Source organism: Homo sapiens, chromosome 12, assembly GCF_000001405.40.
Source record: "Homo sapiens chromosome 12, GRCh38.p14 Primary Assembly".
NCBI lineage: Eukaryota > Metazoa > Chordata > Mammalia > Primates > Hominidae > Homo > Homo sapiens.
The window spans coordinates 68,821,200-68,837,928 of NC_000012.12; the positions used below are offsets into that span (position 1 = coordinate 68,821,200).

At 39.2% G+C, this 16,729-nt stretch overlaps 1 protein-coding gene across 7 annotated transcripts in view, besides 3 other annotated features; it reads left to right on the forward strand.

Moving 5' to 3' along the window:
• MDM2 (MDM2 proto-oncogene) overlaps positions 1 to 16,729 on the forward strand; it is a 42,515-nt gene that overhangs the window by 13,028 nt on the left and 12,758 nt on the right. For 3 of the 7 annotated variants that reach the window (NM_002392.6, NM_001367990.1, XM_047428853.1), the window contains 5 exons: positions 3,164 to 3,231; positions 3,356 to 3,452; positions 7,572 to 7,732; positions 14,630 to 14,785; positions 15,473 to 15,550. In NM_002392.6, coding sequence (NP_002383.2) covers positions 3,164 to 3,231; positions 3,356 to 3,452; positions 7,572 to 7,732; positions 14,630 to 14,785; positions 15,473 to 15,550 — 560 coding nt within the window. The remainder of the gene's footprint in view (positions 1 to 3,163; positions 3,232 to 3,355; positions 3,453 to 7,571; positions 7,733 to 14,629; positions 14,786 to 15,472; positions 15,551 to 16,729) is intronic. The other 4 variants (NM_001145337.3, NM_001145339.2, NM_001278462.2 and 1 more) reach the window with 4 other exon arrangements.
• Positions 8,961 to 9,140: an enhancer, noted in NCBI's record as "active region_6647". NCBI's record gives its function as "activates an Ori minimal core promoter by ATAC-STARR-seq in GM12878 lymphoblastoid cells {active_cell/tissue: GM12878}" and the evidence as "EXISTENCE:reporter gene assay evidence [ECO:0000049][PMID:35858748]".
• Positions 10,044 to 10,717: an enhancer, noted in NCBI's record as "H3K4me1 hESC enhancer chr12:69225023-69225696 (GRCh37/hg19 assembly coordinates)". NCBI's record gives its function as "activates a minimal SCP1, AML or CMV promoter by ChIP-STARR-seq in naive H9 embryonic stem cells {active_cell/tissue: H9 hESC(naive)}" and the evidence as "EXISTENCE:reporter gene assay evidence [ECO:0000049][PMID:30033119]".
• Positions 10,136 to 10,377: a silencer, noted in NCBI's record as "fragment chr12:69225115-69225356 (GRCh37/hg19 assembly coordinates)". NCBI's record gives its function as "represses an EF-1alpha promoter that drives an FKBP-Casp9 reporter gene in an ReSE screen in phorbol 12-myristate 13-acetate-treated (for megakaryocytic differentiation) K562 erythroleukemia cells {active_cell/tissue: K562(+PMA)}" and the evidence as "EXISTENCE:reporter gene assay evidence [ECO:0000049][PMID:32094911]".

The following is a 16,729-nucleotide window of genomic DNA, read 5'->3' on the forward strand; positions in this document are numbered from 1 at the left end:
ACCACGCCCGGCTAATTTTTGTATTTTTAGTAGAGAGGGGGTTTCAGCATGTTGGCCAGGCTGGTCTCGAACTCCTGACCTTGTGATCTGCCTGCCTCGGCCTTCCAAAGTCCTGGGATTACAGGTATGAGCCACTGCACCCGGTCTCACAGTTTGCTTTTGAGTGCTGCTTAGAGCTGTCTCTAATACACTACACTGCTCCTAAAGCCCATCCTCGAACTACAGTTAAGAAATGCTCTTAGGCCAGGTGTGATGGCTCATGCCTATAATTCCAGCACTTTAGGAGGCTAAGGCAGGAGGATCACTTGAGCCGAGGAGTTCAAGACCAGCCTGGGCAGCATGGCAAAATCCTAACTCTGCAAAAACTACAAAAATCAGCTTGGTATAGTGGTGCATGCCTGTAGTCCTAGCTACTCAGGAGGCTGAGGCAGGAGGATTTTTTGAGGCTGGGAGGTCAGGACTGTAGTGAACTGTGATCATGCCATCCAGTCCAGGTGACAGAGCAAGACCTCATCTCTTAAAAAAGACAAAAACAAAACAAAACAAAAAAACACCTCTCAGGAGCTTGTTTAGTTCCTAGAATGAATTGACCACTCCCTTGTACTTCCTCTATTCCATATTCAGATTTTATTGTAAAATTGCTTTGTTTTACTTGTGGGTTTTTTTGTTTGTTTTTGAGATGGGCTCTCACTCTGTCACCCTGCTTGAAGTGCAGTGGTAATCTTGGCTCACTGCATCCTCCACCTCCAGGGCTCAAATGATCCTCCCCCTCAGCCTCCCAAGTTGCTGGGACTACAGATGTGCTCCACCACGCCTGGCTAATTTTTCTGTATGTTTGGTAGAGACGGTGTTGCTATGTTGCCCAGGCTAGTCTTGACCTGAGCTCAAGAGATATTCTCACCTCGGCCTCCCAAAGTTTAGGGGTTACAGGCATGAGCCACTGCGTCTGGCTGTTGCACTTGTTTATATTTTTGTTACCTGTGTCCTATTCAGGTTTGCATTGTGCATCACACACTATAGTGTTTTATTAATATGGTATTTAATAAATGTGTTGAATTGAATACTTATTCTTCCAAAGTTAGGATTTAAAGCCCAGAAAAGTATCTCCATTTTATCCCAAAATAAAAGTAGTTATTAGGCTGATGATTTGGCATTTTATTGTTTTAAAGCTCTTTTTTTTTTTGAGCTTTAGATTGTATCCTTTTTATTTCCTTTTTTTTTAATTATTATACTTTAAGTTTTAGGGTACATGTGTACAATGTGCAGGTTGGTTACATATGTATACCTGTTGTTTTAAAGCTCTTTAAGAAATTGTGTGATAGCTAAATATACAATTGTAGTATTTGTAGTAGTAGTTTGAGTTTTCTGAAGTATGTAACCCTGATGTATTCATTCCTTCATTTGTTTAAATAAACTTTGGCACATTACTAGAAAAATTGTATTATTGAGATGGAAACTTACAAATTACTTATTTGCAGTCTGAGTTTGGTTTAGATATCAGTAGAATTAACTTCAGAACTCCTATTCCATGTTCTCAACTTTGTCACTTTTTTTTTTTTGAGATGGAGTCTCACTCTGTCACCCAGGCTGGAGTGCAGTGGTGCGATCTCGGATCACTGCAACCTCTGCTTCCCGGGTTTAAGTGATTCTCCTTCCTCAGCCTCCCGAGTAGGTGGGATTACAGGTGCCTGCCACCACGTCCGGTTAATTTTTGTATTTTTAGTAGAGAAAGGGTTTCACCATGTTGACCAGGCTGGTCTCAAACTCCTGACCTCAGGTGATCCTCCCACCTTGGCCTCCCAAAGTGCTGGGATTACAAGTGTGAGCCACTGCACCCACCCAGCCTAGGGCTTCCTTTTTATTACATCTTTTTTGTAGCATCTGTTTATACTAATCCAAAATTCCTGGACAATATAACCTATTATGTACAACTTAAGAAAATTAGTGTAATGCCTTACCCATAGTATAAAGAGAAAATTAATCTATGATAATGCATAATTTCAAAATGTTAATGTCCAGGCATGAGTTCACTGTTAAGATGAAAATGTTTCCAAGGGGGGTAGTAAAGGGTATTTGATGATAATTGTCTGTATATCCCAACTCTGAAACTTTGACTTTTGAGCTCAAAGTCTGTATATCCAACTACAAATGAAACCTATGTGCCTGAATAACTCAGTTTGTTATCTTCCCATCCAATCTGTTTATCTTTCTAAAGTTTCTCTTTTAGTGAATGGTACCACTCATTTATTCACCCAAGTTGGAATCTTGGAATCATCTTAACTCCTTTCTTCCTTGCCTTCTATATCAAATACCAGGTCTTGTTGGTTTTTACCTATTTAATTTCTCTGGAATTTGTTTTCCATGCCTTAGTTTAGGCTTTAATAGTTTTTAGTTTGTATTATTGCAATTGTCTAATACTGGTTTTCCTGCCTCTGCCCTCTTTTTCTTATGTTTTGCTAGAGTGATTTGTCACTCTTCTGCTTAAAATTACCATTTAGGGGTTCATTATTGCTCTCTGGATGTAATATTTTCTGTGAGCTAGAAATCAGTTTCATTTCTTGGACAAAAATCCTTTTTAATGGTGAGTGGCTGCAACATCGCATTAAGGAAGATTCTGAAGTATCTGCGGGGAAGAATGCAGTGATAAGGGAATGACAGCATGAGTCCTGCTTTGGCTAGACCACAGGATCCTTTACAGTCTGAACCTGCCTACATTCCAGTAATAATGAACTGCTTGTGGTGTCCTGCAACAGGAACTGTTGTTAGTTTGCTTTTGGATACTTTTTCACATGGCGTTTTCTTGGTCTGGAATGGCCTTTCCTAGCCCTATTTTCATATTGTCCTACAAAATATTTCCTGATTCTTTGTTTCTCAGACACTCCCTGTCCCTACCAAAATAATGACTCTCCTGTCTCTCTGCTAATTTATCTAACAGTCTTTTAATGTCTTGATTATACTTTACTCTTCTACATTAAAGTTGAATTATTTTATTTACATCTGCAACATTTAGTATGAGGATGCCACCTGGAAAATACATGTTTAATGTTTATTGAAAGGTTAAATTGCATAAGGGTTTGTGTTAGACTGATAGCATATCTACTGAGTAGCGCCCCGCCGCCCCCCGCCCACCACCAAGTTTCTGATCCTTTTTCTTTTCTCTCAGAATCATCGGACTCAGGTACATCTGTGAGTGAGAACAGGTGTCACCTTGAAGGTGGGAGTGATCAAAAGGTAATCTAAGTAAATTTCTCATTCTAATGTAATATTATTTGCAAATTGGAAAGGTTATTTACAACAAGTTAGCTTACTGGTTATGTTAAGTTTGTTGTATTTTATTTTTTTCCTAAATGCTTAGGACCTTGTACAAGAGCTTCAGGAAGAGAAACCTTCATCTTCACATTTGGTTTCTAGACCATCTACCTCATCTAGAAGGAGAGCAATTAGTGAGACAGGTATATATGAATATTTATTTGACGCATTCACACAGCTTTTTGATATTCTTTCTCTAATGAAATTAGTGCTTTTAGACTTAATTAAATTGTTCCCTTTTTTTGGTTGAGATGAATTAACCTCTGAGTTTTTTTCATTCGTGATTTTATTTGATTTACAAATTGCTTATTTAGCAATATTTTTCTGGCTGACTACAGCAGGCACAGTTTACTGTGCCCCACTGGAGTTTATAGTTAGCCAACTCTCTGTTAAGATAGTAGGAGGTGGCTGGGGTGTGGTGGCTCACGCCTGGCTCACGCCTGTAATCCCGGCACTTTGGGAGGCCGAGGCTGGCGGATCACGAGGTCAGGAGTTCGAGACCAGCCTGACCAACGTGGTGAAACCCCATCTCTACTAAAAAAAATACAAAAAGTAGCTGGGCCTGGTGGCGCACACTTGTAATCCAGCTACTCAGGAGGTTGAGGAAGGAGAATCACTTCAACCCGGGAGGTAGAAGTTACAGTGAGCCGAAATTGCGCCACTGCACTCCAGCCTGGGTAACCGTGTGAGACTTCGTCTAAAAAGAAAGATAATAGGAGACAGGCATATAAACTCTATTTTCACCATTATTCTTAGTCACCTTAACAGTTAAATTTTTAAATTGTTATTTTTAATAAATGGTAGTACATACCTATGAGTTTTAAAACAGAAAGTAAATAGCATTTTAGAAATGAAGAGATAAGGGCCGGGCGCAGTGGCTCACGCCTGTAATCCCAGCACTTTGGGAGGCCGAGGCGGGTGGATCATGAGGTCAGGAGATCGAGACCATCCTGTCTAACATGGTGAAACCCCATCTCTACTAAAAATACAAAAAATTAGCTGGATGTGGTGGCGGGTGCCTGTAGTCCCAGCTACTCGGGAGGCTGAGGCAGGAGAATGGCATGAACTGGGGAGGCAGAGCTTACAGTGAGCCGAGATCACGCCACTGCACTCCGCCTGGGCGACACAGTGAGACTGTCTAAAAAAAAGAGAGAGAGAGAAAATAGTTGACAGAGAGAAAATAGTTGAGAACAGTTAGTAGACGTAGTAGACGAGAAGGCTGTTGCCTGAGGAAGTCGCAGTAACTAAGACCGTATGATTCAGATGAAAGAGAATGTCAGATCAGTGAAACAGAATAAATGAACCCAGACCAGAATCTCGTACATGCGGGCAGAAGACAGGAAGGGCAGAGGTGTCTAGGGCAGAGGTGGAACTAGAACAAATGGTAGTTACTTGGGGAAAAGGTGAAGTTAGATCTGTACCTTATGCCAAAATGAATTTCAAATGAGTTTAAAAGTTAAATGAAAAATAGAATACAACATATTTGAAAGATAGTCACTTTAAATTTGACTGTTAATATCTGTATTACATAAAAAGTCTTCCCAAATCAATAAGGAAAACATTAAAACTTCAAATAGCAAAAAGGGCAGACAGTTCACAAAAATTTCTCACAGTAAATACGAATGACTAATAAATATGGGGAGAGGGTGAATTTTGGTGATTTTTAGCTTTACAGATAGTAAAAAATGCCAAAAGGGTGTCCTTTTGATCTATCAAATTAGTAAAAATAAAATTTTTACTCATCCTTACTCATCAGTGCTAATAACTTGTGTATTAGCACTGATAAACTGTTGGTCTGTAAATTGGTAAAAGTGGGTAAAAATTGATTAAATTTTTCGGATTATAAAAAAGCTTAGATGGCCTGGTGCGGTGGCTCACACCTGTAATCCCAGCACTTTGGAAGGCCGAAGCGGGTGGATCTCTTGAGGTTAAGAGTTCGAGACCAACCTGGCCAACATGGTGAAACCCCATCTCTATTAAAAATACAAAAATTAGCCAGGTGTGGTGGCAGGCGCCTGTAATCCCAGCTACTTGGGAGGCTGAGGCAGGAGAATCGCTTGAACCTGGGATGTGGAGGTTGCAGTGAACCAAGGTCGCACCACTGCACTCCAGCCTGGGGTACAGAGTGAGACTCCCTCTTAAAAAAAAAAAAAAAAGAAAAGAAAAAAAAGTCTTAGAGTTCTTAACATTATCCTAGTAACTCCATTTCTAGTAATCTATCCTAAGGATGTAATAAAAAATTCAAAGATTTATATGTAGAGATACTAATTACAGCATTATTTATAATTGCAGCCCGGCCAAGATCACCTTTTTAAAAATAGGGAACACAAACATGATTAAGAACTCACGTGCAGAACTTGTGATCTCGATAAAACGTAAAAATCCCGGCCAGGTCCAGTGGCTCACGCCTGTAATCCCAGCACCTTGGGAGGCCGAGGAGGGAGGATCACGAGGTCAGGAGATTGAGACCATCCTGGCTAACACGGTGAAACCCCGTCTCTACTAAAAATACAAAAAAAATTAGCCGGGCACAGTGGTGGGCACCTGTAGTCCCAGCTATTCAGGAGGCTGAGGCAGGAGAATTGCTTGAACCCAGGAGGTGGAGGTTGCAGTGTGCCGAGATTGTGCCATTATACTCCAGCCTGGGGGACAAGAGTGAGACTTTGTCTCAAGAAAATGATAAAAAAAGTCCTTTCAGAAATCTGTGATACTATCTCATTTTAATTTTTGTCATTCTCATGGGTGAAAAATGATATCATTTCACTTTGCATTTCTTTGATCCCTAGGAGGTAAGAGTTTTTTTTTCTATTACTCAAGTACATGACTCAAGATTTTTCATATGTTTATTAGTCATTTGTATTTCTTCTGTGACTTGCTTTTTCCTGTTTCCTTAAAAGAAAATACAGTCTATCTTGATTTGGTAGGACTTTGTATAATATGTATACTATGGGTAATTTTTACTATATATGTTGCAGATATTATCTTCGAATTTGACCTTTGCCTTTTAACTTTTGTTTGGTATTTTATTTTGTCATGTAAACCTTGACATGGTCTAATCTTGATAGTCTTTTTATTGAGGACTTTGCAGTATTATGAAATACTTCTCCACCCCAGCATTATAAGAATATTTTGTTATAGGTACTTGAATGGTTTTGTTCTTTATATTTAGATCTTTAATCCACCTGGAATTCATTTTTATGTCTAGTATAAGGTAGTATTCTCATTTATGTCTAACGGATTTGTCTAACATTCTGACCCATTCAGAGATAATTTATTATTTAAAATGAAATGGAAACTTTTTACTGGTTTTGATTTCTGTTTAAAATATAGGGTACTGAAGAGCCGGGCTTAGTGGCTTAGGCCTGTAATCCCAGCACTTTGGGAGGCTGAGGCAGGAGGATCACTTAAGGCCAGGAGTTTGAGACCAGTGTGGCCAACATGGTGAAACCCTGTCTCTACCAAAAATACAAAAATTATCCAGGCATGGTGGTGTGCACCTTTAATCCCAGCTACTTGGAAGCTGAAGTCACAAGAATCACTTGAACCTGGGAGGCAGAGGTTGCAATGAGCTGAGAATGTACCACTGCACTCCAGCCTGGGTGGTCGAGTGTGACTCTGTCTCAAAAGAAAAAGTGTAGGGTACTGAAGAAATTGAAACATTAAGAATACCATATGAGTAAATTAAACACTTTGGCTCTTTTCGGAAAAAAACAGATGAGCTCTTATATTTTAAAGTTTGGTTTTGACAGAAAAAAATTCCTAGATTTTTTGGTTAATAAAAACTTTATTAGATAGATTAAATTGTGATGTATGGAGATAAAGTTCTGAAAGAAGAATAGAAAGCTTTTTAAAAATAGTATTCTCAGCCTAGGCAACATGGTGAAACCCTGTCTATGCAAAAAATACAAAATGGTGCATTCCTATGGTACCGTTCCTATGGTACCAGCTACTCGGGAGGCTGAGGTTGAGGTGGGAGGATCACTTGAGCCCATGAGGCAGAGGTTGCAGTGAGCCGAGATTGTGCCTCTGTACTCCAGCCTGGGTGACAGAGCAAGACCCTTTCTCAGACAATAAATAAATAAACAAATAAATAAATACACACAGATAGTGTTCTGCTGTAACAGTTGGACAGATTCAATAAAACAGTGTTAACTTTTGAACTAATTTTATTGAAACTAAGTTTCTGTACAAATAGGTACTCAAAACAGCTCAATTTTCTAAATCACAGTACAGCAATTTATTTTTTTTCCTTACATATCCAGAAGAAAATTCAGATGAATTATCTGGTGAACGACAAAGAAAACGCCACAAATCTGATAGTATTTCCCTTTCCTTTGATGAAAGCCTGGCTCTGTGTGTAATAAGGGAGATATGTTGTGAAAGAAGCAGTAGCAGTGAATCTACAGGGACGCCATCGAATCCGGTAATGTTCTCATTTTAAGTAAGGCAAGACTCTTACTGTTCAAAGTCTAGTCCTGGCAGTCCTAATAAGGATACGGATAGAATGTACATGTGTCTTACGAGATTGATAGAAAACACAGTGCTAAATTTTACTTTAAAATAAAACTACTATATTGATCTCCACCTTCAACCCAAGGTATTGTGAGAAATGTGGAAAATAGTGGAGTAACACCGGTATTGGTAAAATTAGTAGTAGTATTAGTAATTATCAATGTCACTGTATGTATTAGAGAATATTTGTGGACCACTGCACCAATAGTACAGTCAAATAAATTGGAGTATAGAGTTGTTTGAGAATTTGAGAGTTACACTTTTTAAAAAAGGAACAAAACCAAAAATTTGGTTCAGTTAAATATTTTAGCATTTTAAGGCAAATTTGACTATTTAGAGTAAAAATATATTTTATTACAGCCATCAGCAAAAAAGTCAGCATAGTCTGAACTTAACATTTGCCAAATAGGTCTAGACATCAGGTAAGTTCTATTTACTTATGCTGTAAAATACAGGTTTATACTGGGCTGGGTGCGGTGGCTCATGCCTGTAATCAGTACTTTCGGAGGCTGAGGCGGGTGGATCACCTGAGGTCAGGAGTTCAAGACCAGCATGGCCAACAAGATGAAACCATGTCTTTACTGAAAATACAAAAATTAGCCAGGCGTGGTGGCGCATGCTTGCAGTCCCAGCTACTTGGGGGCCTGAGGCAGGAGAATCGCTCGAACCCAGGAGTTGGAGGTTGCAGTGAGCTGAGATTGTGCCACTGCACTCTAGCCTGGGTGACAGAGCGAGACTCCATCTCAAAAAAAAAAAAAAAAAATGCAGGTTTATTATTGCATGGATGACGGGAGAGTATCAGTACTTTCTCATTACTAATACAGACTTCCAAAATATTAGTGAGCAGCATTTCTTAAGAGATGTCACTGAAAGAAGTTTGGTAAAAAATTTTTTTGTTAACAAGAATGCTTGACAAATGGAATATTTTGTTTTGTATGTCTTTAATCAAGCTTGTCCAACCCATGGCCTGTGGGCCATATGCCAGGATGGCTTTGAATGTGGCCCAACACAAATTCATAAACTTTCTTAAAATATTATGATTTTTTTTTTTACAATTTTTTTTCTGCTCATCAGCTATTGTTAGTGTATTTTATGTGTGGCCCAAGACAATTCTTCCAATGTCGCCCACGGAAACCAAAGGATTGGATACATTTTTTGGTAATATGGCAGTGTCTCATGGCCATTATTCTGGGTATTAGTAATCATTGTATAGTACTCTAGAAGATGTAGGAAGTGGAACCAATTGTGATAGTAATCCTAGTCTTTTACCTATTCTTGTTACTTCCTGTATTATCTTTTTTTCTCTTCCAAAGCAGTGATTGTATGAACGCATACCTGCCCTCTAGAGTTACTGTACCTAACGGAGCTGTTACTTATGTAGACCGCTAGATGGCATGATGAGCTCCTGCTCAGTCTGAGAGCAGGTTCTTCATTTGTAGATATTTAAGTTTATACCAAATTCCATACAGTTGAGATGGCACTGCAGATACAGTGGTAGTCAAGGTAGATATGGTTCTTGCCTTCATTGGGAGATAGATCATTAATGACAAAAATGAAAACATTTAATAAATCCAGTGGAAAAAATAGGCTCTTGAGCGGAAATATATGTGATAAAATTGAATCCAATTAAAACTTGATGAGTATCCAACCTACAAGTTTGGTTAAAAAGAGAATTATTATACCCTATTTATTTATTTATTGAGATTGAGTCTCTCTGTCTCCCAGGCTGGAGTGCAGTGGTGCAATCTTGGCTCACTGCAACCTCCACCTCCCCGGTTCAGGCGATTCTCATGTCTCAGCCTCCTGAGTAGCTGGGATTACAGGCTCCCATCACCACACCTGGCTAATTTTTGTATTTTTAGTAGAGATGGGGTTTCACTATGTTGGCCAGGCTGGTCTTGAGCTCCTGACCTCAAGTGATCTGCCTGCCTTGGCCTCCCAAAGTGTTGGGATTACAGATGTGAGCCACCTGCCCGGACCCCTATTTAATGTATAGTTTTTGTTAAAGTTATATCAGAATTCTAGCTGAATGATATTTAGAGTCCTTGTTCCTGCTTTGTACCTGGGACACTGCCTTGTTACTGATATGGCTTTGAGGAGTAGAGGAACACCAGGTTTTTTGTTTTGAGTTGAATTAGATAAAACGACACGGACACACGTGGAGTGGTTTTAAGGAGCAGAGCGTTTAATAGGCAAGAAGGGAGAAGGCAGAAGGAAGAAGCTCCCCCTTACACAGACAGAGGGAGGGGGGCTCTAAAGCTGAAAGAGGAGACCTTACATTCTGACAATACTAGCCAGTTTTATGTGACGGCTGGAGGGGGTGGTGTCTTATTTGCATAGGGCTCAGAGGATTGGTTTGACCAGGCATGTCATTTAGCCCTCAAGAAAACTGGCCCTCCCACCCCAGTCCTTTAATACACAAATGCAGGATGCCATGACATTTTACACACGGGGTTATGTGGGGGCGGCCATGCTGTTAGGTACCTGATGGAGCAAGGGCAAGAGGACAACGGTGGGAATCGCCATGTTGGGTGGACCCTCTTGCATTTGCATCTTAAAGGTTGCCAGCCTTTAAGAGCCAGGGCTTTTATGCTAGACAAGAAATTTTTCTGGAGCTACGAAAAACCTTCCAAGGACCACTTTTCCTCTCCATTTGCCTAAAATAATTTCTTAATAACTCGTGTGGAGTAGAGGGGTATTTCTTTTTTTCTTTTTGTTAGTCCTGTCCTGCATTCTCTTAAAAAATCCTATCTATAAAAAATCTCAGCCGGGCGTGGTGGCTCATGCCTGTAATCCCAGCACTTTGGAAGGCCCAGGCGGGCGGATCACCTGAGGTCAGGAGTTCAGGACCAGCCTCGCCAACATGTTGTGAAAACCCATCTCTACTAAAAATACCAAAAATTAGCTGGGCATAGTGGCGGGCACCTGTAATCTAGCTACTCAGGAGGCTGAGACAGGAGAATCGCTTGAACCCGGGAGGCGGAGGTTGCAGTGAGCTGAGATCACGCCATTGCACTGCAGCCTGGGCAACGAGAACGAAATTCCATCTCAAACAACAACAACAAAATCTCGTTTTTCAGGTTAAGTCCCTAGTTGTGAAAGCTTTTGGTAGGGCCAGTTTTTTTTTCTTCTTCGTTTTAATTTCCCTCATTTGAGAATGTTGTAGTCATCATTGGGTGTCATCATTCACCAGTTTGTGAAGGGAGTTAAAGGAAAGTGCATTCCTCTCCCATCTTTTCTTTCTTTGGGGTTTAATAAATTGTGGGAAACTAAGACTGTGTTCTAGACTGTACACCATGCAGTTTATATTATGATCTTCTGTCATCTTTGCAGCCTCAGATTCCATTTTTAGCTAAGACTGGGGTTTTAAATAACTTGTTTAAGGTTCCTACAACTAATTGTCACAATTGGAATTCAAACAATTCTAGGTATTTTTGACTACAAAGATCTAAGATCTTTGCAGAGCAAGCCTATCTGATGCTTAAAAAAATATATATTTTTTAAATTTTTGAGACAGTCTCTCACTCCGTTGCCCAGGCGGGAGTGCAGCGCATGATCATGGCTTACTGCAACCTCAACCTCCTGGGTTCAAGCAATCCTTCCTCCTCAGCCTTGAGAGTTAGCTGGGACTACAGGTGTGCACCACCACACCTGGCTAATTTTTTTTACTTTTTTTTTTTCAGAGATGAGATCTTGGCCTGTTGCCCAGGCTGGTCTCAAACCGCTGGGCTTATGTGATTCTCCTGCTTTGGCTCCCAGAGTATTGGGATTACAGGCATGAGCCACCACCTCCAGCCTGATGCTTTTTAAATATATAGTATTTAGGTCTGGTGCAGTGGCTCATGCTTGTAATCCCAGCACTTTGGGAGGCTGAGGCGGGCGGATCACAAGGTCAGGAGATCGAGACCATCCTGGCTAACACGGCGAAACCCCGTCTCTACTAAAAATACAAAAAATTAGCCGGGCGTGGTGGCGGGCACCTATAGTCCCAGCCACTGGGGAGGCTGAGGCAGGAGAATGGCGTGAACCCAGGAGGTGGAGCTTGCAGTGAGCCGAGATGGTGCCACTGCACTCCAGCCTGGGTGACAGAGCGAGACTCTGTCTCCAAAAAAAAAAAAAAAAAAAAAAAATATATATATATATATATTTATATTTAAATAATGTATAAATATATAATATATAATTATAAATCTATTATATATTAATGTATATTATATATTACATTGTTATATATATTTATATAATTATATATTTATATAAATATAAATATATATATTTATATAAATATAAAAATATAATTATATAAATATAAAAATATATATTTATGTAAATATAAATGGGCAGGCACCTGTATATATTATATATATTACTATTTATATAAATATAAATATATATTTTAAATATTTATTTTATATATTTTAAAAATATATATAGAGAGAGATAATTTAATAGTTTCTGGGGCATTCTTTTGCGAACATTAGCCAAAACTTTAAAAACCACTCCCAATATTGCATTTTTTCATGGTATTTTTTATAGTATTTTTATAGTATCCTAGGACAGGAGTTGGCAAACTTTCTGTAAAGAGCCACATAGTTAATTATTTGGGCTCTGCCGGGCCATGGTTTCTGTCACAGCTACTCAGCCCCGCTCTTGTAATGCAGGAGCAACTGTAGACAACAAGTCAACAAATAGGCATGGCTGTGTTCAATAAAACTTTATTTATAAAAGTCGATGGGTGATGGGCCACAGTTTGCAGACCCCTACCGTAGAGTATGTTTTCTGAGATTTAATGTTTCTTGTGATTTACCCCCTTATTCTAAAATTAGTGCACTAAAGACTTTAGTTAGTTGAAGTATTTGGTTTGTTGGGTTACTTTGTTAGTGTTAATTGTATCCTAACTTGACTTGTGATTCTAATCTGATTGGTAGTAGAGCCCTTGTTAGGAATTTGAGCTGCAACTTGATGAATGTTGCTTTTACTCTCCTTCCTAACATTACTCTAAAAAAGTCTTTTGATGTCAGAGGCTGTAAAATAATATACTTTGTTTCTGTTTTTAAAACTGATACAGATATGGAAATCATTTAATCTAAGCTCCTTTTCTAGATGAAGTAGCTACAGCCTTTAGAAGTTAAATGATATGGGCTGGGCGAGGTGGCTCACAGGTGTAATCCCAGCATTTTGGGAGGCCGAGGTGGCGGATCACTAGAGGTCAGGATTTCGAGACCAGCCCAGCCAACATGACGAAACCCCGTCTCCACTAAAAACATAAAAATTAGCCGGGTGTGGTAGTGGACACCTGTAATCTCAGCTACTTGGGAGGCTGAGGCAGGAGAATAGCTTGAACCCCGGAGGCGGAGGTTGCAGTGAGCTGAGATCATGCCACTGCATTTCATCTTGGGTGACAGAGCAAGACTCTTGTCTCAAAAAAAAAAAGGGCCGGGCATGGTGGCTCACACCTGTAATCCTAACACTTTGGGAGGCCAAGGCGGTTGAATTGCTTGAGGTCAGGAGTTCAAGACCAGCCTGGCCAACATGGTGAAGCCCTGCCTCTACTAAAAATACAAAAATTAGCCAGGCATGGTGGCATGCGCCTGTAGTCCCAGCTACTTGGGAGGCTGAGGCAGGAGAATTGCTTGAACTTGGGAGGTGTAGGTTGCAGTGAGCTGAGATCAGGCCACTGCACTCCAGCCTGGGTGATGGAGCAAGATTCCATCTCAAAATAAATAAAATAAGTTAAATGATGTTGTTTAAGGTTAAATTAGCTACTTAGTGGCAAGTGTAGAATAAGCCATATCCCGACTTCTAGACTTTTTCCAATTGTAGCCTTCTGCTTATATATGCTCCTACCCTTAGCCACTGACAGCAAATATTATTGCCCTGAAGGTCTTACTAGGTTCTTATACAATTTATTGAAGTCCTGAAACGAAGAATCAGATGAGCAGCTACAGAATTTTTTTTAATTGTCTAAAGGCTCTTTAAAAGAAAATCTCAAAGTTTATTAAAAAACATAAGTATCTATGACTCGAGACATTTTTCTAAGAAAAAAAACCCATAAGTATTACAAGTGTTGTGTCTTGTTACGTGTATTCTACCAATTTGGACATAGAAAGATGAGTGACAGGTTTTAGCTCAAAGTATATATAATTCAGATGAGAAACATGCCTGCAAAATTATGTTTTGCATAATTTATGTGTGAGACTATATAATTCATTATTATACAAGTAGTAAGGATAATTAAAGGTGGAAGAGCCTTTTCAGTTATGGTATTGACAAAGGCTTAGTCAAAGAAGGATGAATAGGATTTTGAAACTGAAATTATTCTAGTTAGAGGGGGAAAGTGTGGAAGTTGAAATGCCAAGATTAGTTGAGGAAGCAATCTAGATCTGGCGGGATTATCCATATTTAGTAAGGGAGGAGGGGTGTCTAGTTGAAGACAGACGAAGATGTTAATACAGTCACACTGTAGGTACTTTCGATGCCAAGAGGCTTTGGTGTTTTTCCTTTATGCAGTGGGGTTTTGAACAGGGAAAATAATGTAGTAATAACCTTGAAACCTTAATCTAGTTTCAGTATGCAGGATGGATCTGAGGAGGAAATGTGCGTGGCAACCGGCTCCGGGATGGCTGGCTGGGGGGCCTAGTCTTCTGCCCGCCGATCTCCCTCGGGAAGTCCCGGATCAGAGCAGCAGGCCCATCCCCCAACTGTTACACCCTGCTGGCAGCAGCAGAGGCACAGGGATGAGTTAGGAAACAGATACAGAGGTCAAGAGGTGATGTTTATTAAGTTATATATTTTTTTCTTGTTTTAGGATCTTGATGCTGGTGTAAGTGAACATTCAGGTGATTGGTTGGATCAGGATTCAGTTTCAGATCAGTTTAGTGTAGAATTTGAAGTTGAATCTCTCGACTCAGAAGATTATAGCCTTAGTGAAGAAGGACAAGAACTCTCAGATGAAGATGATGAGGTAGTATTTTTTTTCCCCTCTAATTATATTGGAAAATTATTAAATATTTTCTATGTTCATTGACTTTGAGATTGAAATAATATTATTCAGATTTCACTTGAAATCTTTACCTCTTGATTTGTTTAAACTAACACATTGGTTTGTGGACTTGAGGATTTCATAGTTCTTTATCATCTGATTTATATTATTATATTACTACTAATTGCCAAGAAGTCAATAGACCTCAATGAACATGCTTATTATAATGGTCTGTTCACTTTTAAAAACATATAATTCAACTACTGTTTTAATATTAACTTACTTTCTATAAAAGTAAAACATGCATACAGTTAAAGTCAAGTAGTACCCTTAGAGATCTGTTTCCCAGAAGTGACTGCCTTTAACATTTCTAGCTATTTCCCTATTATTTAATATCTCCATATTAGTTATTTATGAAGTAAAACCACCTAGCTGAATGTTTTGTTTTATTCATCCTAAACATCCTTTGTATTGACTTTTACCATTGTGGGTAAGGATTTCTCTCTCCTCCATTTTTTCCCCCTTTACACTCACTTACTCTATTTGATATTGTCTAAGGCTTTCTCATATATTGTAGTACATGATATTTGTTTAGGACTTATTACTAGGAAGCCTTCTGATTGAAGGAAATAGGGCGATGAATTGATGCTAATGAATGTGTTTTATTAGGTATATCAAGTTACTGTGTATCAGGCAGGGGAGAGTGATACAGATTCATTTGAAGAAGATCCTGAAATTTCCTTAGCTGTAAGTATACATCTACTTTTTTAAGAAATAAAAATTTCATTAAGGTCAAGATTAGGAGACTATATCTAGCTTCTTTCTGAAATGAACTGATTTTTATAAAGTTAAAATGTTTTTGTAAAGTCTGAATAATTTAAAGCATTTTTCTTTTATTTGTTGTGATGAGACCTGTAGCTATAATTTTTATTTTTAGGTGCTGGAATTTGAACTTTTTTTTTTTTTTTTTTAAACAGGGTCTTACCCTTCTCCCAAGCTGGAGTGCAGTGGTGCAATCTCAGTGCACTGCAGCCTCCACCTCCCAGGTTCAAGTGATTCTCGTGCCTCAGTCTCCTGAGTAGCTGGAATTACAGGCATGCACCACTATACCCCACTAATTTTTTTATTTTTAGTAGAGATGGGGTTTCACCATGTTGGCCAGGCTGGTCATGAACTCCTGACCTCAAGTGATCTGCCCACCTTGGTCTCTCAAAGTGCTGGGATTACAAGCATGAGTCACTGCCCAGCTGAATTTGTACATTTTGATGTTATTTTGGAAAATTTCAGTGTATCTCCAGTATACTCATCACCCAGCTTTAACTATTACCAACATTTTGCCAACCTTGTCAAACGTAAACTTTTTTTTTTTTCAATTGAGATAGGGTCCTGCCCTGTCTTCCAGGCTGGAGTGCAGTGATGTGATCATGGCTCACTGCAGCCCCCACCTCCCAGGCTCAAGTGATCCTCCCACCTCAGCCTCCTGAGTAGCTGGAATAACAGGTGCATGCCATCACACCCCAGCTAATTTTTGTATTTTTTGTAGAAATGTCACCATGTTGCCCAGGATGGTCTTGAACTCCTGGGCTCAAGTGATCCACCTGCCTCAGTCTCCCAAAGTGCAAGGATTACAGGTGTGAGCCATCACACCCAGCCAAATGTAAACATTTTTATTACTGATTTGTATTATAGAATGTGGTAGGATTTGCCATTAAAGAAATTAACACTTAAATGTTTACATCTCATGCATACTTCACTGAGTTCCTGAGGTATTATAGGTTTTTTTAAAACTATTGTGCTTTAGTTTTTGTTCTTAATATTGCCTTTATTATATTTGAATAGGAAATAAATTCCATTTTTTCTGAGTTATAGACAGTTACTAATTATTCAAGTGCAAAAAAGGATGAAAATTCAAGAGTTTCCAAAATT